The 24769-nt window shown below is 35.7% G+C and overlaps 1 protein-coding gene across 11 annotated transcripts in view, besides 1 other annotated feature; it reads left to right on the plus strand.

Annotated features, from left to right (window-relative positions):
• The window catches only part of CNTN5 (contactin 5), a 1337937-nt gene continuing 1333230 nt past the window's right edge, over positions 20063–24769 (plus strand). For all 11 annotated transcript variants that reach the window (XM_017017926.2, NM_014361.4, XM_011542871.2 and 8 more), the window contains exon 1: positions 20063–20384. The gene's annotated coding sequence lies outside the window, so the exon portion shown is untranslated. The remainder of the gene's footprint in view (positions 20385–24769) is intronic.
• Positions 22440–22640: a silencer, noted in NCBI's record as "peak1437 fragment used in MPRA reporter construct". NCBI's record gives its function as "represses an SCP1 promoter by STARR-seq MPRAs in K562 erythroleukemia cells {active_cell/tissue: K562}" and the evidence as "EXISTENCE:reporter gene assay evidence [ECO:0000049][PMID:32103011]".

The raw sequence follows: 24769 nt of genomic DNA on the forward strand, positions 1-24769 counted from the left end.
TCTTCAAGGAGAATTACAAACCACTGCTCAACGAAATAAAAGAGGACACAAACAAATGGAAGAACATTCCATGCTCATGGATAGGAAGAATCGATATCATGAAAATGGCCATACTGCCCAAGGTAATTTATAGATTCAAGGCCATCCCCATCAAGCTACCAATAACTTTCTTCACAAAATTGGAAAAAAACTACTTTAAAGTTCATATGGAACCAAAAAAGAGCCTGCATTGCCAAGACAATCCTAAGCCAAAAGAACAAAGGTGGAGGCACCATGCTACCTGACTGTAAACTATACTACAAGGCTACAGTAACCAAAACAGCATGGTACTGGTACCAAAACAGAGATATAGACCAATGGAACAGAACACAACAGAGCCCTCAGAAATAATACCACACATCTACAACCATCTGATCTTTGACAAATCTGACAGAAACAAGAAATGGGGAAAGGATTCCCTTTTTAATAAATGGTGCTGGGAAAACTGGCTAGCCATATGTAGAAAGCTGAAACTGGATCCCTTCCTTACACCTTATACAAAAATTAATTGAAGATGGATTAAAGACTTACATGTTAGACCTAAAACCATAAAAACCCTAGAAGAAAACCTAGGCAATACCATTCAGTAAATAGGCATGGGCAAGGACTCATGTCTAAAGCACCAAAGGCAATGACAACACAAGCCAAAATTGACAAATGGGATCTAATTAAACTAAAGAGCTTCTGCACAGCAAAAGAAGCTACCATCAGAGTGAACAGGCAACCTAGAGAATGGGAGAAAATTTTTGCAATGTACTCATCTGACAAAGGGCTAATATCCAGAATCTACAAAGAACTCAAACAAATTTACAAGAAAAAGGCAAACAACCTCATCAAAAAGTGGGTGAAGGATATGAGCAGGCACTTCTCAAAAGAAGACATTTATGCAGCCAAAAAACACATGAAAAAATGCTCATCATCACTGGCCATCAGAGAAATGCAAATCAAAACCACAATGACATACCATCTCACACCATTTAGAATGGCGATCATTAAAAAGTCAGGAAACAACAGGTGCTGGAGAGGATGTGGAGAAACAGGAACACTTTTACACTCTTAGTGGGAGTGTAAACTAGTTCAACCTTTGTGGAAGACAGTGGCAATTCCTCAAGGATCTAGAACCAGAAATACCATTTGACCCAGCCATCCCATTACTGGGTATGTACCCAAAGGATTATAAATCATGCTGCTATAAAGACACAGGCACTCGTATGTTCATTGCGGCACTATTCACAATAGCAAAGACTTGGAACCAAGCCAAATGTCCATCAATGATAGACTGGATTAAGAAAATGTGGCACATATACACCATGGAATACTAAGCAGCCATAAAAAAGGATGAGTTCATGTATTTTGTAGGGACATGGATGAAGCTGGAAACCATCATTCTCTGCACACTATCGCAAGGACAAAAACCAAACACCGCATATTCTCACTCATGGGTGGGAATTGAACATTGAGAACACTTGGACACAGGAAGGGGAACATCACACACCGGGGCCTGTTGTTGAGGGGGAGGGATAGCATAAGGAGATATACCTAATGTAAATGACGAGTTAATGGGTGCAGCACACCAACATGGCACATGTATACATATGTAACAAACCTGCACGTTGTGCACGTGTACCCTAGAACTTAAAGTATAATAAAAAAAAAAAGAAAGGGTAGATTCTTTTAATGGGATAATATGCCCATATTAGTTTATGTATCAGTAAAGATATGGTGAGAGACCACCACAGTGATTTAGAGAATAGGATTTCATACAGAGAATTGGAAGAGTTTGCGTAGATAATGTCAGAAAAGTTTTCTGTTGGGTTTCAGATTGCTTCCCATCTTCCATGACATCAGGAATGTGAGGACCTCGAGGAAAGCACCTCCAATGTTCATGGGTGGGTAATTCTCAAGAACACACATGGAAGTTGCTACGAAAATCTCACATCTGCTGAATCCCATACCATTGCCTGCTGCTGTCACACTGTATCCTGTACACCTTCTGAATCACGTGTGAGTGCTTTTTGTTGAAAGATCTACAATAGCACTAAATTTTGGAAAATGTATTTCCCTACTTCCATCTTCCGTGACATATGATAAAATATAGAGGAGAGTGGAGATTACAGTTTGTTTTCAATAAACAATATCTAGCGTATCAGGCTTAAGCATGCCGTATTTTGATAAAGAGTACTAACTGGATTCTACGAATGGTCATTTTTACACACTTACACCAGGGCCTAAAATCTATCTCCTCTTGTTTTTACAATTTACTAGAAATTATACATATTTCTACCGTTCAAGGTACATGTAAACTAGAATCTTACAATTGCTTTTGGTCTGGGTTTCTCTAATATCTAGTAGATTCAAGTATCTTTTTATATGCTTTTTAGCCATTCAAGCCTATAGTTCTCTAAACTGCTCATTAATATCTCTTGTCACCTTATAATGGTTTTTCTAATTATTTTTATTTGATTTAGATATTCTTTAGTACATTGATGTGGTTAGGCTTGTGTCTTCATCCAAATCTCATCTTGAGTTGTAATCCCATGATCCCCATGTGTCCAGGGAGAGACCAGGTAGAGGCAACTGCATTATGGGAGCAGTTTCTCCCATGCTGTTCTCATGATAGTGAGTAAGTTCTCATGAGATCTGATGGTTTTATAAAGGACTCTTCCCCCATGGCTGGGCACCTCTCCTTCCTGCTGCCTTGTGAACAAGGTGCTTTGCATCCCCTTCACCTTCCACCATGATTGTAAGTTTCCTGAGGCCTCCCCAGCCATGCTGAACTGTGATTAAATTAAACCTCTTCCCTTTATAAATTACCCAGTCTCAGGCTGTTCTTAATAGCAGTATGAAAACAGACTAATATGTACATTATAGATATTTATCCCTTGGCCATTTCATTTTTATTTTTATTTTACTTTAAGTTCGGGATACATGTGCAGAACATGCAAGTTTGTTACATAGGTATACACGTGCCATGGTTGTTTGCTGCACCTATTGATCTGTCCTGTTAATTCGGTCCCCATGCCTCCCACCCCTCAACAGACCCTGGTGTGTGTAGTTCCCCAACCTGTGTCCACATGTTCTCATTGTTCAAGACCCACTTATGAGTGAGAACATGCAGTGTTTGGTTTTCTGTTCCTGTGTTAGTTTGTTGAGGATAGTGGCTTTCAGCTTCATCCATGTCCCTGCAAAGGACATGATCTAATTCCTTCCTAATGGCTGCATAGTGTCCCATAATGTATATGTACCACATTTTCTTTATCCAGTCTATCATTGATGAGCATTTGGGTTGGTTCCATGTCTTTGCTATTGTAAATAGTGCTGCAATAAACATACATGTGCATGTGTGAATGTGTCTTTATAGTAGCATGATTTATATTCTTTTGGGTATATACCCAGTAATGGGATTGCTGGGTCAATGGTATTTCTGGTTCTAGATCCTTGAGGAATCGCCATACTGTCTTCCACAATGGTTGAATTCATTTACCTTCCCACCAACGGTGTAAGAGTGTTCCTATTTCTCCATAGCCTCACCAGTATCTTTTTTTTCTTGACTTTTAAATAATTGCCATTCTGACTGGCATGAGATGGTATCTCATCGTGGTTTTCATTTGCATTTCTCTAATACCCAATGATGTTGAGCTTTTTTCATGTTTTTTGGCCACGTAAATGTTTTCTTTTGAGAAGTGTCTGTTCATATCCTTTGCCCACTTTTTGATGTTTTTTTTTCTTGTAAATTTAAGTTCCTTGTAAATTCTGGGTATTAGACCTTTGTCAGATGGGTAGATTGCAAAACTTTTCTTCTATTCTGTAGGTTGCCTGTTCACTCTGATGATAGTTTCTTCTTCTGTACAGAAGCTCTTTAGTTTTATTATATTTAGTTAAATGTTTACTTAATTAGATCCCATTTGTCAATTTTGGCTTTTGTTGCAATTGCTTTTGGTGTTTTCGTCATGAAGTCTTTGCCCATGCCTTGGCCATTTTAGATGACATAAACATCTTCTCCCAGCCGCATGTGTTTCTTCACTTTAACTAACTTACATTGAATAGAAATCAATTGTTAATCATATGACTTTTAACTTTGGTATCTTATAAAAAATTACTTTCCTAGCCTTTGGTAAATACTACCCCACCATTTTTACAATTAGCTTATCATGTGTAACTTTAAGAAGCTTTCATTAATGTGTCACTTCATATTGTGAATTTGAATAAAATATAAATAAAAAGGGACTCGCCTATGCTCAGCAGTAATGTGACCATTTTATGCAATTGAATTTTTGAATATCATTTATAGAGTCATGGTAGAGTTTACTTTGTTTTCTAAATGTTCCTATCTTTGTTTATAAATTATTTACAGTTTAATAATATTTATGATTTATTTATTATTAATATGATCAGTAAGATTTGGGTTTTATCCTGTACATGTTCTGTTTTGTTTTGTTAACTGATATCTTTGCTTATTAACTTAGACATGGTATCTGTTGGGCTCTGCCTTTCTCAAAACTGAGGGTCCTCTGCCTTCTGCACATTAATTTCTTTGTTAATGAATAAAAGAGGGACATATCCAAAAAACTTTTCTTTGTTGCAGGGGAGTAACTTTCTGATGGAAGTATGAGCTAAAAATAAACTTTCCCCACAGGGGACAGGAATAGAGGTGCCATTTCTTGGCATGAAAGTGCCTTCAGAACACCCCTCTTCTCCCACTTCATGAATATAGCATTTTAGGATTGGGTGAGAGACTCAGTTACTTTTTAAAGTACTTGCATTCTTAGTTACGCACTGATCAATCCTTCAAAATGGCTATGCATCCAGAATCAAGTAGAATGTTCTATAAAAAAGCTGAAGCCATAATAATGGACAGAGGTGAATTAACATCTTTTATTTTACATTTTGGGATTCATTATTTTGCTTTTACAAGAAGAACAAAAATTGTAAGTATTCATGGCCTTTCCTCCTACCCACCTCACCTTCTACAGAATGTTATATCTCTGCCTGCTCAGCCCCTGGGCTTTCGCTGTCTGCATTGTTGGTAATGGGAGGGGAAATAGAACTGGAAGAGCAAGGAAATCAATAGTCACATCATGAATGCAGAGTTGTAAAAAGAGTAAAGAAGAGAATAATGGGAAAGCCAAAAAAAAAAAAAAAAAAGGGAAGTAAGCAAACTCAAACAGGATTATATGTGATCTGAAACTGAGAATACTTAGAAAATAAGAGCTTTTGATGGCAACTGAAGGCTTATAAAATGTTGAGAGAAGACTTGTGGAAAGGGGCTTGGAGAGAGAGCTTGTAGAAAAACATTAAAATTTTTCTGTGTCTTAGGAGATTTGCTTCTTTAATGCTTTACAGAGTCTTAAATACTTAAACTGCCTTTCAATTTTCTACGCAAGTCTGATGATTATTTAATTATAACTGTGCTCAGACTTAGCTGAAGATAGCTCAAATTTCTGTGGGTTCATTTGATTCATTTTGTCCTTAGAATAAAAAAAAATTTTAAGTAAATATGCCATTATGTTATATTCTCTTAACTAAGAAGTGCATGTGTGTGTGTGTGTGAGAGAGAGATTTTAAAATATTTTACTGATAATTTTTCTGCTGATTATATGAAATTTTGTGTTACATTGCTTAAGCACATGCTCAAGCACAAAACACAGAAAAGAACATTTTACAAAATACTGGCTCAAGAATATTACCATTGGAGCTCTGTAGTCCTACAACCTAGATAGCTAAACACTTTCTATATAGTGAATATATAGTAGCTATTTAAATTGATGTAAGTGAAGACAAATCTAGACACATAAATGTATATGGAGATAGTAATAATTGTTATTAATCTATTGGCACAATTAGTAAAATCATTCTGCTTTACAAGACTTATACTTTCTTTCTTTTTTTTTTTTTTTTTTTTTTTTTTTTTCATTGAGACGGATTCTGGCTCTGTCGCCCAGGCTGGAGTGCATTGGCGCAATCTCGGCTCACTGCAAACTCTGCCTCCTGGATTCACGCCATTCTCCTTCCTCAGCCTCCCTAGTAGCTGGGACTACAGGCGCCCGCCACCACGCCCGGCTAATTTTTTTGTATTTTTGGTGGAGATGGGGTTTCACCGCATTAGTCAGGATGGTCTCGATCTCCTAACCTCGTGATCCGCCCATCTCAACCTTCCAAAGTGCTGCGATTACAGGCGTGAGCCACCGCGCCCAGCTGACTTGTACGTTCAAAACTAGTGATTTTGCAGAGTTTCCTAGGTTTCTGGCGTCTCAAACACCGTTTCATGGGGTACATGAAGTCATACTATTTAATAGCAATGCTAAAATGTTATTTACCTTTTTGCTTTTAGTTCTTCCATGAGTGTACACTGGAGTTTTCCAGCAGCTATATCCCATGTAATATTGCAAAAGATTAAATGCAGAAACATAGATGAATAACCATCTTCCTTCTATTAAGGCTGATATTTTTAAAGTTCTGACAACTATAAAACGAGGTGACTCTTTTCACCATTTTTGTTTTAAAAATATAGTCTTTTTTATTAAACTGTTATTTATGCTAGCATTAAATGGTTCATTTTATTGCTATTTTAAATAAATTAATATATAACTATATATTTAACTTATTTCAATTTTAATTTCTTACGTAGTAAATATTAATAAATGTATTCATCAGCAATAGAACCTTTTTAGGGACTTTAATATATTTTCAGAGTGCAAAGTGGCTCTGAGACCATAAAATTTGAGAATTTCAGCCCTAAATACTTTTAAATAAATATACTTATCAGGATACAGAGGTCACTGTTTTTTTGGGGGTTCCAAAGAATGGAAAAGATAAAGGAGGAAGAATAAATGAAAGAAAGAGGACAAAGAACACATTGCAAACAGAATTGAAGGGATATGTTAGTTCTCTGTATCTCACTTGGCATGTCTTATAGACAAAAATGTCTCTTCTTTAGGAATAAATAAATCACAGCAAAGGATTGGAAGTCTGCAACTATCTCAAAACCACATTCATGGGCAACCAAAATGAAGCATAAAAAGAAAAATACTTGGACTTTCAAGTTTAAAAAAGTAATAATTAATACTAAATTTTTTACATTCCACTTTAGCAATTATAAGGGCACAACATTTTTATTTCATGACAGTTATAAGATCTTTATTAATAAACTAAGTACATAAAAATAATTAAAAACCTTTGAAAAATCACTAAATGATTTAAATGTATGTGACATAGAGACACTGTGCCAATGTCACAGTAAGCCTGTCTTTCAAAAAGAAAAATAAATGTTTACTGCAAAACATCTAAGTTGTCCCAGTGTATATACATAAGTCATGGAAAATACTAATAAGCTCATTATTGCACCAATCTGATACCAAATCAGTAAGTCAATTTAGTGCTTATAATGTAGTGTTACATTGATTTAATGATGCTATTAGTGATATTTGCAGTGATTGGACTGGCATAAACAATTAGTATTTAGGACTCTTTCTCCATAGAAAAAACACCTAATTCCACTAATTGCCTCTAGTTCTGCTTCTATTAACTGCACACTTTGTACATGCTAATAATCTTATTATCAGCTGCTGCTGAGTTAATTAAAATTCATGTCTACAAGCATAAACCAAAATGTGTGTATTCTGATCACCTTTTATACGTTAAATAAAAATGTTGGAAGACCAAATTTAAACATTAATTTCCAGAAAGTGAAAATATATTTTTAAAATGCATATGGCAAATTAACTTATAATGAGCTCAAAAGAGGTTGCAAAAATAATTTCACATTATGATGATATGATAACAGTTCAGGATCATTTAAGAATGACATGTTCTTAAAGCAAAAAACGACATGCCAGTCCATTATTTTGTATGGAAAGTAAAATGTTTTCAGAAAAGCATTTTTCATTATTTGAGTAAAGAACTATATCTCGTTATTAATTTGCCTTTTTTCTCACTCTCTGAAAACACCTAGGATATATTTTAATTTGTTTTGGTGGTCTCATAGTCAGTCTGAAATACATTTTCTTTTTTTCTTTATATTTTGCTATTTCAGCGTTTAGCAAATAATTTCTGAGTAAATTGTATAGGTTCAGTCCTGAATGAAGAACTCTTATTTTTATTTGTTAGAGAAATGTTATATATAATATCCTATTCATATCTAGAAAAATTGATTTGAGTTTTAAAATTTTATTATTTATAACTCTAATCATTAGTGACAATGAACATATACTGGACAGCATTTTATAATTAAGAATGTGACAATATATTTTAGCTACATTCACTTATTAATAATGAAATTAGGTAATAATAAGATATGATTAATCTTAACTGGATTTTATTCAAGAAAAATCATTCTATTTGGGTCAAATATGAAATGAAAATAAGTGTCCCTGTGTCTTAGATGTATTCCTTAAATATTCAAGCCGCCTAGATTCTCTCAATTGGGAATTGACAAGTGTTATTATAACGTCGTGTTCATTGGGTGATAACAGCTCTGTGTTGTCATGTGGTTTTTGCTTTAAGAACATATCATTCTTAAAATATATGAATACAGTGTCATATATATATGTGTACACAAAATTTATATATATACTTCATATATGGATTAGTTGCTAGAAACTGAATTCCCTTCCAACAACAGAAAAAGGTGACAAGATGGATGATGGGTTATGATTTATTTTATCTCCAGTGGGGAAAAAAACCTCTTCAAAACTATAGTATTGTTGATTTCAAGTTTAACTCAGAAAAAAAAAAGTGGCATCAGGTAGAACATTTTTTCACTCTTTCTTTTTCTATATTATTATTAAAACAAATATATCCAAATGTTGATGCCCTCTTTATTTTATTCATAGCTTTTGAGGCATGTTTCATAGCTGTAATACAGCTGTGTATATTCCCAAACTCCTCACTGCTAAGTGAAAAATCAGTTTTCCTTTCTTGCCTTTTTTAACTTATTTAAATAGGACACACTCATGCATGCCTTCCTTCTTGAAATTCTTTCCTGCCCTGGCTTCCTTGACAACCTTTTACGCGGTTTTCCTCCTACCTACGTGATATTGCCTTCTCAGTGTCCATTATGGGCTCTTACTCTAAAATGAAGCCTTCTCCAAGTTTCCATTTTTGGCCCTAACCTCTTGCCTTGCCGTCATTCTGAAAAGGCAAATCTTATTTCTTCCTTATGTCAGCTACCAACTCTACCGAACTACTTTCAAAACAGCATCTCTGACCTTTAATTACAGGTACTCAGTATTATATAGTACAGCTTCCTAAGTATTGCACAATTGAATCTATGTCACTATCTCCCAAACGGGACTCATTTTCTATCCTTTAAATATGTGTCTCCGTCTCAGCTAAACCCACTATGTTCGAGAAAGTGGAATTACCTTTTTGTTCCACTCAGCACAATGGACTGTGTTGGACATCTTATTTACTGGTCTACATACACCAATGAAAGCTCAGCTCTGTGAGGTTACAGTCTATTTCTTATCTATTTTGTTCACCATGTTCCTGTAGTTCTACTTTCTCAGAAGATGCAGAGTGACCCTTCTTTGTCACCCTTTCCCACAATCAATTAGTCCCCGACTCCTTCTTATTCCTTATCCTAAAAGCCATCCCTTGCCCAGCCACATTTTTTAGTTCATTCTTTTTATCATCCATGACTTCAAATAGTATAATAGCTCCCAATCGCTTTTTCTGCTTCAGTCCTATTTATATATTTACCTCCTCTTGATTAAACTTTGCAATGATTCCAATTATTTAAGATGCCGTAAAAGTCCCTTTTTTATGCAGCTGCTACTTATTCCAATGTCATCTTCCACTCTGCACTTTCCAGGAGCTACAGCATCTACCCACACTGACTAATTTTAAATTTACTAAACACATGAACCTGAGGCAACACACTATGCTCCTATGATATGGGATGTATATAGATATTGACATAAATAGAGTTATAGACATCAATATAGGTATAGATACTGGCAAAATCAAAAAGATGTAGATGTACAGATATAGATAGATGCAGATACAGGTATTTTTAATCACCTCCAGCCAATTCTTCTTCAATTGCATGATCTCCATGAAGCGCTCCTCCCCTCCATGCATGTTGAGGAGCACGGCGTTCACCGTGTGTTCCTACACTAGCCTGAGGGTATCTCTGTTAAACGATATTGAACATTGCATTTACATGTCTGGACTATAAACTCCTTGAAAGTAAAGATGGTGTATCTTTGCATGTGACACAGTTGTCATGGAATCAGTCATTTTAAAAGTTTGTTAAAAGAAGGTGTGGAATTTAAAAATAACAATCTGTATTAATTACCAAATCAATCTATCATGTAAAAAATTGAAATATGCCTATCCAAGTAACAGTGGCATAGAGAACCTCGGGTTACAATCTTGTCAATAAAAATTCATTTCAGAACTCTTTCCTAAAATATATAGTTATTCAATAATACTTATCGTGAGAAAAAAAATCCCCATATAGGAAATAGAAGGAAGAAATATTTACTCATGTAAAGTATAATTTGAGCAACAATTGGAACACCTTTGTCTTTTTGCTCTTTTTAAACTGTTAATTAATAAGAAAATTTTATATTAAGAAGGCTTTTAGTTAAAATTCAAATTGCTTTGAGAGACGTAACAATAAACTCTTTTTTATTTTGTTTGAGCTTTTATATAAGAGTGTAGATACTTATTTGGAAATTTTATTTTATAGGAAATAATCTTAACACTGATTTATAGTGAGAAAAAGAGGACATAATGTTAACTAAAATAAGCCACATGCAGAATGAAAAATACTGCATAATCTCATATGTGGCATCTAAAAAATAGTCATTACTGGGGCAGGGCGGGGAGTGCTGGAAATGGGAAGAAGCAGGCCAGAAAGTACAAACTTGCAGTTATGTAGGACGAATGCCTAATAAATAATAATAAAAATAATAAATTGCACAGCATAATGATTGATAGGCTAATTTGCTTAACTATAATAATTATACACACATACATATACACATGTATACACATGTAAAAAATCTATATCTCTCAAAGCATCATGTTATACATCTTAAATATATACAATAAAATATCCTAACTCAAATTTAGGTACTTTGAGAAAGACAAGCTTAATGTTCGTGACTATTTCTACTAGATTCATTTTTGCTGTCCGTAAGCAAAGCCGTACCTCCACTAAGAACCTGGGTCCAACTAAGATGTCAGAGAGAATACCTCCTAATTCTTTCAGGCTGCCATGTTAACATTTCTTTAATATTAATAATGATTCCTGTGCTTTCATTTATTCAATATGTGTGTGCATTATCTGCAGTTACGGGTTAGTGAAGTATGAAGCACAAACATGTTTTGCTCCATATCAGAATATGAAAGCCAACAATTTAGACTTTAAAAAGAAATGTATTTTCCATAGCTTCATACAGAGCGTATTTTCATATTGTAGTAACTATTGCCATTGAGAACAAATCAGGATAAGCTTTGTGTTATTACCAACTACCATTGACCCTTAAATAATGCAAGAGTTAGAGGCACCAACTCCCACACAAAAATCTGCATATAGCATTTGACTCCCCCACAGCTTAACTATTAATACCCTACTATTGACTTACCAAGAACATAAACAGTTGATTATCATATATTTTGTATGGCGTATGTATTATATATGGCATTCTTACAATGAAATAAACTAGAGAAAAAATGTTAAGAAAACCAAAAGGAAAATAAAACATAGTTGGTATTTATTAAGTGGAAGAGGATCATCTCATAAAGACTCATCCCCAGCCAGGCGCGGTGGCTCATGCCTGTAATCCCAGCACTTTGGGAGGCTGGAACGGGCAGACCAATTGAGGTCAGGAGTTCGAGACTAGCCTGGCCAATATGTTGAAACCCCTTCTCTACTAAAACACAAAAAGCCAGGCTTGGTTTGCAGGCGCCTGTAGTCCCAGTTACTAGGGATGCAGAGGCAGGAGAATCGCTTGAACCCGGGAGGTGGATATTGCAGTGAGCCGAGATCCCGTCACTGCGCTCCAGCCTGGGCAGCAACAAAGTGAGGCTCCCACTCAGAGAGAGAGAGAAAAAAAAAAGGCTTTGTCTTCCTGTTGAGTAGGCTGAAGAGGAGGAAGGGGAGGAGGAGGGGTGTCTCAGGGGTGGCAAAGGTGGAAGAAAACCTGTGTATAAATAGAACCGTGGAGTTCAAACCCGTGTTGGTCAAGGATCAACTGTACTCTAAGAGAGTAGAAGTTGGAACTCTCATTCAGGCCATACTGAACTAGAAATACCATTCGACCCAGCCATCCCATTACTGGGTATATACCCAAAGGATTATAAATCATGCTGCTATAAAGACACATGCACACGTATGTTTATTGCGGCACTATTCACAATATCAAAGACTTAGAACCAACCCAAATGTCCAACGATGATAGACTGGTTTAAGAAAATGTGGCACATATACACCATGGAATACTATGCAGCCATAAAAAATGATGAGTTCATGTCCTTTGTAGGGACATGGATGAAGCCGGAAACCATCATTCTCAGCAAACTATCGCAAAGACAAAAAAACAAACACCGCATGTTCTCACTCATAGGTGGGAATTGAACAATGAGAACACATGGACACAGGAAGGGGAACATCACACACCGGGGCCTGTTGTGGGGTGGGGGGAGCGGGGAGGGATAGCATTAGGAGATATACCTAATGTTAAATGACGAGTTAATGGGTGCAGCACACCAACATGGCACATGTATACATATGTAACTAACCTGCACGTTGTGCACACGTACCCAAAAACTTAAAGTATAATTAAAAAAAAAAGAAAAAAAAGAGAAGGAAAAGGTTGGGGGAAAGGTCTGCAATTCTATTTTGGATGTTGAGGAGAAGATGAGTGGGACAGCTGCAGCTTGCTCACTTTAGAGGGTTGGCACAGTTGTGCCCTGCTTTGCCAAGAAGAACACGCACAAGGGATAGCTAACAGGCAAAGTAGACCTGGAATAAGGGATGAGGGCTTGGAGTGGAAATGGCCTATAAAGTCTCAGTCTTCCCAGTGAGTGGTCCATGAGTCCGTAAGTCAGGTAGTTTTGCCCTTATTTTATTTTTTATTTTGTAAAAATTTATTTGTATAGACTTAGAAGTGCAGTGCGGTTTTGTTACATGCATATATTGCCCTGTGCTGAAATCTGTGCTTTTAGTATAACTATCACCCAACTTAAAAAAAAAAATACTATCTGGCTAGAAAACTGATTTTTCCATTATTCTTGTTATATCCAAAAGGTCTGGTTTTAGCGACTATTCTATTACTGTTTTTAAATGTCTCTTGGTCAAATATACAGTTTTCATTAATACAAATACTTTGTTACACATTAATTGTGCAGATTTCCACTGGAAAATGACCATACTTTGTATCCTTCCGGCCTTGTCACTGTTGTTGGCATTATTCTAAGGCTTGCCGTGAATACAGAACACCACTGCTGTCATTTTTCAGTAAGCATTGCCATGTTTTTCTTGTCTCATATTGGCTTCCAGTGGGTTCTGATATGATTTCTTCTGCTCTGGATTCTTATCAGTATCTTGCTACCTCATTAGCAAGCATCGTTTAGCAGAAACACCTGAGCCGACATGATGCCACCTTGCTCAGCCTTTTGCCTTTCTTTGGGACTGTCCAACCTAGCTTCCTTTCTCTTTACTACAAGAAGACCGTCAGCCCTTTGTGAGCTGATAATTAATAATCAATTAAGGTTTGATAATAAAATTGCACTATATTGTACTTTGGCACCTGAAGTAATTTATTTTCATAACACCAGGAGCAGCTCATCACCAATTATAATGAAAGTAGGTTCACAGTCTATGATTTTTTTCTTTCATATAAAATTTGTGTAACCAGAAATAATAAGAGGTGTATAAAAGAAGTGTCATGTAGCTATAATACATTGATTAATATTTGTTGTCACATTAAGTGGGCTTGGGATCCTTACAAGAAAGGTGCTATTTAAGCATAAAATATTGGTGTTGTGTCTGTACTCGCATAGCTTATAAATTATATCTTGAGAGTTCACAGACACAAAGCAAGTTTTTACCATTGTCAGCAAGCAAAGCCAATGTAGCTGTTGGAGAGGGAGCCTCCTGCGTCATCAAAAGAATTCCCAGCTGAGCCCTGATCCCCTTATCACTACCATAAGTGATGGTCGATGGTAGTTCAGGTATAAAGAACACAGTTCCAATTCCAGGTGCCAGGCTGAACCTGATATGGTAACAGGGAAAAGATCTTCTAACTCATAAACACAGAAAACTAGATATAAATAAGGATTATGGCAAATAACTCGGATATAACAAAACGCAGTCTCTTCTGAAAAAAAACCAAAAACCAAAAAACAGCATGTGTGAAAACAATGTATTTTCCTCCAAAACTGCAGGTTGTTATATGCCAATTAGCAAGTTGAATAAGATATTCAGGTAAAACACTAGAATGTGAGATTATACATTTGTATACAAAAATTTTTGCCAAAATCTCATATGTAAATTTATTCATCTCTGTGCAGTTCTTAAAGTAGTAGGTTCCTAATAAATGTCAATTGAATGAACCATATATCCTGGTGAGTATATGCAAATGCCACAAACTGTCAATTAAATTTAATCTTGTATTTTACCTTGCATTGCACTTGTGCTAAAACTATTCCCCATTAATTGGATTCTTTATATGTGAGGTATGTTAATCTGATATGATACAAACAACTTGTTTTGTGGTGTTCTAATTCTTTTATTCAAATTAAAATGGGGATTTGTTTAGTGAACAAGTTAAGAACACTATGGTGGAGGCACTTTACTTAGATTTGTGTTTCATTAGCTCATTAATACAGAATTAAACATTTCATCTCAAGCATGCTTACATGCCTAGTGTATACTTAGCCCTCAACAAATGTTAATAGCTCCTGTTTTGCCACTGAGTGTAAGGGTACCTTCGAAACATTCTGACATTTTGCAGTTTGCCAATGTATTTATTAGATACTTCATGTCATATAATCTATACAACTTGTCTTATAGCTTCAACTGCTAATTTGGGGTTCCTCTCAGTTCTCTAAAAAATCGGAACATCCTTAGGTCAGAACTTAAATGGCATTGCTAATTAGAGCATGAGTGCCATCTAGTGGTAGACATGGCTAACTACAGGCTTATTGGTGAACAAAAAAAAAATAGGTGGTGAAAATGTTCTGCTTCTTCATTATAATGCAGTCTCTTGGAGTTAGTCTCAGACAAACAAATGAGACATCCTATATATACGCTACTCAGCCAATAAAAATTTAAACACAAAGTATATCAGATTGAGGGGTGGAAGAATTTAGTTCCTGGTCCACAGGAGGCATACAGTCTAGTTCTACACCTAAAGATCTACACAAAATGTTTTAAGCTGGATTCTAAGTACATTTTGGAAATATTGTAGATGAGACCAGGAATGTCTAATATATAAAGGTGAGAATCATATTTGATAGCAATATTTTTGAAGGATGATTATTTTGATGGAGGGCCAAATATCAAAGACAGGTCAAGTTAATGTACCTGACAGACTTGGGAGACAGGGAAGAGATGGGAAATGATCAAGATGCAACACACATATGGCCATTCTTTAAAACCATAAAGAACAAATTAGACTAATTCTAAGAAACCATTAGACATTTTTATCCCATACTGAGAAGAATGGTATGTAAACAGTGACAATACAGAGGTATTTACCTGGTCATGAGCAAATGAATCTTTGGTTTTGTTTCTTTATGGAAACAACTTTATATCCAGAGGTCTTGGTGAGAGAATGCTACATAAAAGAAAAATTAGACATCTGTAAAGGTAAGTGAATTAAAACTGATAGAGATCCTGAGACTTAAAATATATCCAAGAAAAAAAAATAGAAATGCATATCTAAAGGAATCTACTGGATGAAAACTAAGTAAACTTTACCTTTAAATTAGTAAGATTTCAACTTTTACTTCTATTTTCTAAAATCTTAATTAACTGCAAATGTTTATGGTTTGCATAAATAGTTGGACCAAAATGTCACAAAGGGTGAGCATAAATTCCACCTACAGGAGATTAGATATTTGCAGCTTCTGTAAGTAAGAGTTGGTACTGTGACCACCAAAAGCTTGACCACCACAGTTGAATTAGAGCTCCTCTCTCATACTTCTTAATGGTTTTGGTTGCCGATGTTATCAAGACATCCACAAAGTAGACTATGTTCTTTAGCGTTGTTTACTGAAGCAGCTGTTAAATTAATTAAGTTGGTATATTTTCCAAGTCTGATTAAGATATGTTTACTTCTGCTTTCACAAAACAGCTGTGATATGAGTACTGAGACACATCTTCTAAGAAACTCAAAATATAATTAAAATCATATTTTGTCCAGTTCAAGTAAAAGTTTACTTTTGCTTCTTCATGTGTTACTTTGCACTTATAGGGAATACTGGCATATATTGAAAATGCAAGATTTTGATTCCTTTAATTTTTATCTTAGTACTTACCCATTCACCATTATTGGTAACACATTAACATAGAGGATTAAAACATCAAAACAGAAAATGCAAATGCTAAAAGAAGCTCCAGTAGGCAAGGCAGATGATCCAAGAAAGATGACTGATCTAGACATGAATTCACCATTGGTCTGCTTCCCTACAGTTATGCTATGATTTGATGGAACATAATAATAGTTATGATCTGTTAACTAGAACCTAGAACTTATCTGAGTCAAATGAAGGGAAAGAGAAAGGAGGGCATGATTTCAATAAAAATCTGTTACACAAATAAGACAAAAGCTCAGAGGCACCTCAACTGCTACAGATGTGCTGCATCTGCTTGCTTGCCCATTGGGGACGATGAGATAAAGAGATTAAGACATTTACACAAAGATGGCTAGACAACAAGATCAGATCAGCAACATGACAGCTAGGTTGAGGTGTCATAACCATAGCATAGAGAAAGTGACCTACTGAACCACTTACCCCACTTACAAACAATGTTTTAATTAACTTAATGTACAAATGATATTTTACCAGGGTACAGGATGAGCTGGTTAATTCAAAAATGTCATTAGCATCAAACAGAGAAAACCAGTGATCTTTTAATAATGCCATTTTATTAAGAAAACAGCATTGGAATTTAATAATGGGGCATACATACTTTTATATCTTTTAAAGACAAATCTTACATCAAAACAACTATAACTTAAAATCCCATTCTCACATGTCAATAGTAGAAAATCTTGGTCATGGTATGTGAAAAGATTTGATGTTTACTTGGAAAACACAAGGTAGTTTGTTTCTTTTTAGTGGAACTCTAACAAGGAGTTTTGTTTGTTTGTTTCTTATTTTAAGCACTGTTGTTTCTCTAATTCCAGACATTGACCTGCTTAAACCTGAACACTGTGGATATAAAAGGATACAGAAGTGTACCTGATCTATAGAGCCCTTACTCTCCAAGCAGAAAATTGTAAAAATATACAGTACATAAGTTAACTCCATAACAGCAAAATTCTAAAGAAAGATGAGTCAGATAGACTAACAGTTTGTCTGTTACATATATAGATATTAATAGGGAATATATAATTGTATATTATTACAAATTAGAACATTAAAAGTCATAAAAGACATGAGAATAAATATAGTCACTCTTTCTGGGTCCTGAATGAAGTGTAGCCAGGTAACCTAGTCACCCCCAAATAATGATTGAAGTCAACATTTTAAATTTGAACTGACAGAAATAGACCTTACTATTTTTAATTAAACAGATTCAACGTTTCCTTTCTCTCCCTCTAAAGCATCAGATAACTTCGCAAGGAAAAGTGCTATTACATTATCTACTTGTTTCAAAAATATATTCACACCATAGTCTTGTGATAATATTGCTCTCTTTATAAAAAGTAGAAACATTAAAAGCTTTTATTTAGTTCTTGCTTAAGAAAGGAGAAATATTTAGTCCATTTACATCATGTAAAAGGTAAATTTTCTTGTTCATGTTAATGGTAGGAGGGCACCATGAATCATGTGACCGATAGCATTTCCTTCTTTACATTGGCTGCTAACAAAGTTAATGGCAGACCTAGCACCATTTGTAACAAAAACATCAATGCAGTTTTCTCTATAAACCTCATTTCTGGCTTCATCTTATCTCTCCTCCTATCACTTTACCGTTTGTCTTGATCTCACTGACCTACATTTTTTATTCATTTTTTTAAACTGAATAGATTTTTATAAGCCAACTTACATCCTTTCTAGGGCAAAGCTAGTTGAAAGAAATTATGTGACATAATGACTCAAAATGCCCAAATTATCGGATCATGGGTAATATAGAATGGTGTTCTAAGAAGGGAAGAGAACTTTCAGAAAGCTTTCTACACTCCCGATCCCTCTTTCAGGCTGCATGTGCTCAATTATACACTTTTAAAGGCAAAAACCTCATCGAACAATAAAAAGAATGCGTTAGAGCTCCTACACTTTGAATTTATTTTGTGATGTATTTAATGTGGTTATAAAAGTCCTGGTAGTTCTCTCTGTGAACCGACAGCCTGACAGAGGAGAAGAGCCAGTGGGGCAGAGAAAAAGCCACAGAAGGGGAATCTCCACAACGATCCCTCAGTTAACACATAAAGAAGATAACCTAGTTACTGGAAAGCAGGAACACGAATATAAAAAGTATGGAAGAGTGGAGAAGTATTAAATGCACACAAATTTGTCTTTGCTACAGAACAAGCAATCAGCCTAGATCCTGAGGATAGCGATTAAAAGCAGAGACTGGGTGTTTGTACATCATTGGATGAATGAGAAGCAGCCAAGAAACAGGAAAAGACTAATTTTAATTACCAGAAAAACTGCAAGAGAAAGAACACAGGGCTAGTGGTAGACGGCTTCCAGCTACAGGCTGCCTGGCACTGTACTCTCCTTGCCAATTAGAGCCAGTCAGACCCCATCGGGGGATTCAGTGAGCAGAAGAATCAGCGTCAGTCCAGGGTCAGGCTGCTCTCAAACACACATGAAAAACGGACACCAGCGGACACGGGGTGCGACCCTAGACTCCCATGCAGTTTCTTATACAGACACAGAGATAGAAAGCAGTACGTGGGATTTCCTTTCCATTAAATACAGGTGCAAACCACATTCTCTATGGAAATATATTGCAAAGGAAATGTTATATAATTTATTTAACAAATACCCAATTACCATCAGCCCAATCGTGGGAATTGGAAAACGACTCAAAGACTGAGAGGAAAAAAAAAAAAAAAGTAGAGAGGAGGACTGGCAGAACAATGGCACTAAAGCTGCCACACTGTGGATTTACTACCTGTGTTATTTTTCCAATTACAGCCATTGTAATATAAAAATTCCGAAAAAAAGGTTGCTGAGACCATTCCTTCGCTTTTTTTTAGAACTGAGTCAACACCCCAAATCAAAGAGAAATATAAACAGGCAGAGCCTGATAGTCCTTAGATGAAACGCGTAAGTGCAGAAACAAAAGAGAAGTGCTTCCCATTCAGGACTTAAGAAAATTCTGCAAAGTGAAAAAGTCCACTCTCAAACCGACCTAAGTGAACGCGTCAGTCTGTGCTGCTGCTGTCAGAGGTGTGAGCCGGGGACTACAGGAATCAGAGTGAAGACAGGAGCGGAGGAAGGGACTCTCGCCTGGATCTCCCGTGCCGACTCCAGCCAGCACGTTTGCTTTGTAATCTATGAATGTTAAATACGGAGGGGTTGCAGAGCAGAAACGCTCGGGGAAGGGGGGCAGGTCCTCTGTACTTAGCAGGGAAGGAAAATGCCGGTTGACTAGTGAGACGAGTGGAGAAACACAGAGCACCCTCCGGGAGGCGCACAGTTCGTTAAGCCCAGGGACATGCTCAATGAACCTTTGCAGCAAGAGGCAGTGAGGCGCTGGACGCGGGCGCCGGTGACAGCGCGGGCGGCCGGGGAGGGGCGAGGGGCCGCCCCGGGAGGACACAGCCAGTCAGAGGCGCGGGGCGCAGGGCGCGCGGACGCATTGGAGGAAAACACGCGAGCCCCAAACACACCAGCCGCAGGAGGCGCCGCACCTACTTCCCAATATAACCAACTACGGCGTGGGGGAGCGGAACTGCGAGAAGGCGGCAGCCAAAGTGCCATTAAAGCTCGGGGCGGAGAGGATGCGTTACCTGGGTCCCGTCTGCTGCGAGAGGCAGGGCAAGCTGGAGGATTCCCTCTGAATGATTAAGAACTCCGCAATTCGCCTCTGCCACAGGCTGCAAAGGACCCGAGGAACCGCTCTCTCTGAACTGTGCTGATGGGCAGGAGGATGGGAGACAGGAATTGAGAGTCACAGAGGAAGGACAGTGGAGTCTGGCATCTTATTGGTAAGTGGCTGACATTCCTTTGCCAGTGACTGCGTTCTGTGATTGTGCACTTCATCTCCCAGCCACTTAGGATTTTTGACACACTCTGTTCTGCAAAGCCATCCTTTCTTGCCATGTTGCCAGAATGTAAAAACTGTAAGATGAAGCTTTTTTAAATAAAGGAAACAAAACACGACTTTATTTCCTGCTGGGATTTTATGGCAAAAAGTTGAAACAAGAGTAAATATAACCTATTTGTATATCTCCTAATGCCACCCAAAATAAGAGTAAGCAATTCCTACACGCAAATTGCAAATTGTAAGGCAATAAATGCCAGGATAAAGTGAGGATGTTTCTACAAAAGAAACTAAATGTTTGGAAAATAGGATGCCGTTCTCAGGTACTGAATGTATGCCTTATGTTTGAGCAATGAGTTTCCGAGACTAAATAATTGGGCATCTGGCATTGCAATAACTTGTTAAAATTCAGTAGGGATGCTCTATAAGTGGAGTTCTACAAAGTTCGTGAGACTGAGAAAAACTGTATCTTGGATTATGCTGAGCTTTTTTCTAAAGGTTGTATAGGATTGTGATAGATTAAAAAATTATGTTCAGACATCCTTACCATGTTTTGTAGGGAGATATACGGAAGAGAATATCAATTTGCACATACACAAACCTGAGAATTACTCTGATGACCTGAACAATAAGTTGTTTCAACTATATTTATTTGCGAAAGAACCAGAATCCACTAAATATTTTAGAATTATATTACTTTTAAATCTTAGAACTGTTCTCCCAAGAAAAATACAATTTCATGTGGTAATTTAAATGCAGGTGAGAAGCAAAAAACTTTTAAACTGTTGTATGTTCAATGCCTTACCTACATTTCATTCATTTGTTTCTTAATTTAAAAGAGAAAATCATTTAGAGGGTCAATACTTCTACTTTGATTCTCAATTACGACTGTGGAAATAAGGATGAAAGAAGTAGATGTTCATTAGAATACTAGCATTTAAAATTATAGACAAATAGTCAAATTTAAAAATTAATGCAGATATCATCGATTACTGTTGAATTGCAACAGAATTACAGAAGTACTTATGACCATTACAGGGAGCTTAAAGGAGTTCATTATGATTAATATTGTGACTCTCAGTATTTTAAAAAATAATGATTAGGTCATTAACTGTTTTTGAAAATGCCTGTAGTCAATTTTGAGCAATTCTCATGGTTGCTTGCATATTCTCCTATTTCATGCTCAAATTATTCTAAGTTAAGTGGGGACTAGTATGCTGAGTCTTAAACTTAACAGGCATAAGTTTACTCTGACTCTAATCGAAAAGAGGTATGAGTAAGAATATGTCATATAAAACTAATGATAACAAATTAAAGATATTACATAAAAAGATCATCTAAGTCCATTAAAGGGAAAAAGGCAAAAAAAATCAGAGTTAAAGTTATAAAAAGGGAAATTCAATATAAAGAATAGAATTTGACAAATAGCTGGAGTGTGAGGGAATGATATTAAAGCCTATCTGAAAATAGAAAGTCAGTGAAATGATTATTACAAGTGCCAGTGTTTTTGCTTAGGAATTGGTGTATCCTTTAAATTATTTAAAACTTCTGAAAATTGAGAAAGGAGGAGAAAAACTGCTAATTTTAATTTCTTTCTGATTCCATAGACAACTGAACAGAAAGTTAGATTCTTAAAAGTTATATAAAAATATAATCCCATAGATTAACTAAATGCCGGACTTTGTCTATAAGTTGTGAGGCACATGCACACCAAGGTGCTTTTGGAAATACATCCAAAAAGCTACAGTTGTGGAATTTTTAAATGAATAGCTGAAATACCTGAATGTTTCTCAAGGTGAGCAGTTAGTACTTCAAGTATTAGGTGGTCTGAAACAATTCTTAGTCAGGGAGCCAACCTGAAATCAAATCATGAATCTATACATAGAATATGTTTATGTAAGATGAATCATTAAAATTAGTAGCATGTAAAAATTTACTTCAATCTTATGTGTCCAATTAAGTAGCGCTATCTGTTAGAAATGTACCAGGTTTGGCTGATATGTATTTCTTTAAATGTCTCTTTTACTTCACAGTTTAGAAAATCTTGACCACTTTCAGGGTAGAGGTAGGAGTGTGATTGTCTGTCACAGCTGACTTAGCAATATGGACCAGAGGGTGCCAGTAAAGGGCAAAGGGCCCGCATAGGCTGGCCAAAGCATTTTGGAGTTTGTCTTACTTCTAGACAAAATAAAGGCATAATTTGTGAAGATTAAAATAAAAATGATGAAAACTTCTCTAGATGGCTGTAATACTGTGAAGATGATTTGACTGTAGAGAGTTTGATTGGCTAAAACAAAGTTGTAGCAGAGTTTAGTGTCTCCTTCATCAGTCAAAAACTAATCCAGAATTTTATGAGGCTCAGATATTTACAATATTGTAATTTGCCGAATCCATTCTTTCTCATGTATCTTGATTACCTATTGTCTTTGAACTTTCTTTTAAAATACGGGTTTTTAAATTTTTACCAAGTCGTTGGAAATTTATTTCTCTTACTTTAAATAATAAACTCATACATTCATGTAGTTTGTTTTCTTGAAATTCTGACTCCAGGAGTTGATTTTATCTCTCTTTCTTCTTTCTGACAATCCAAGCATAAAGTAAGAGAGTAATATGTTTCTCACAAGATGTTAAGAACCGTGTTGTAAGGCTGTGCTAACATGTTACATGAACTTCTTAACACTTTATAGCAGGAAAGAGACTGGTCGGAAGCTCAAAGCGGTAGAATCACTGCAGAGGTCTATTTTCTGAGCATTTGTGATCAATAACTCCACATTAGAGGCTGGTACATTTTAAAAAGTAATGAAGTATATAAAACTCCTAATGCTTAAGATTTAAGATTAAAAACTATTATGAACTATATTCCATCTCCCTACCCACTCAAGTAAGAAATCCTGTTTTATGATTTTTGGAGATTCAAATGTGTATTGTTAGAAGTGTTCTAATAAACTGAATATTATTAGTTTATGTTTTTTCCAGACACTTAAACAGTGTTTTAGTTAATTATTTTATTTAAATTGAATGACACAAAATATAGTGTTTTAATACAGTGGCTATAAAAGCAATTTTTAAAGGGAAACATGAATTTGCTTTTTAAGAAAACTGGTTTTACAATGGATTTCTTTCATCAAAATTATTTTGAAGTATTGAATTGAATCCCAAGAAATTGACACAACACTGTATAACTTCAGTTATGTTTTGCCTATTATAAATATTTGCATAAGCTAATTGTAGATAATTTTATGTCTATTAATCCCCATAAATTAAAACACACGTCTTTAGTTTTATATCCCAGAGTAGTGCATGTTATATTTTTGACATTATACCCTCCTCAAACATAAGCTCATACGTGTTACAAAGCTATTCAAAGTATGGTAGTTTCTCTTTTCTCCAGTGCAGGGAACTGGGAACTTTCCAGAGAGGCCACAAAGTAATTGTGAAAAATAAATCAAGATTGTCTGTTTTATGGAAATAAAAAAAAGAATCTCATTTTTAATCTAATATAAAATAGTGTGAGATCTATCATTCATGAGAATCTTAAGAAATTACAGTCATATTCATTTCCTGTGTATTTCTTAAGCTAGAATTTCTTGTGATCACTGCCATTTTTAAACGTTTCAGAAAATGTTTCATTAGATACATTTTAAAACACGGGTGTAAAGTTGTTTTTTCTCTTTTTCTAAGTGGTTCTTAAAAACTCATAATGATCTAAATAACTTGTTGCCCAATGGCCACTTTTTATTTATTTATTTATTTTCACAAATGACCTTCTCATAACAGATCCGACAGGACTCACCTATTTCCTCTTATGCCAGTCATGTTTCCAAATATTTCTCACACTCAATTTGCATAGAGCGGAGATCTAGATAAAAAGCAAGAAGCCAATACATTTTATGAGTTTTCTATGAAAAATATTGTTACAGTTAGTATCTTTACTAGAAAATATGGAGCCAATTAAAGGGAAAGTGACTAAACTGAACAGAATCCAAATAAGCAATTGCATTTTAGGCAAGGAATATTTCATTTATCTGAATGATCAAAAATTCTCTTTCATAACCATTGACTGGAAAAGTATAATTATATATTTAAACATTTTATGAAGGGCGTAGAGATGTTCTTCATAGGATTCTTATAGCTGCTAACAACCCAGAAAGGAGAACATCTCATCTTCCATTACTATCCAGTAGTAAACGTAGCATATGTTTAGGAAGAGAAATGTTGCTGATTATATAGGTGATAAAAAGTTGATTGAAATTCTCTTCCTTTTGTGAGTTATAATATTGGCAGAAGCATTCATCATGAGGCTAAAAATACTGAGATGCTCTCATCGAG

The sequence above is a fragment of the Homo sapiens genome, chromosome 11, assembly GCF_000001405.40.
Source record: "Homo sapiens chromosome 11, GRCh38.p14 Primary Assembly".
Lineage (NCBI taxonomy): Eukaryota > Metazoa > Chordata > Mammalia > Primates > Hominidae > Homo > Homo sapiens.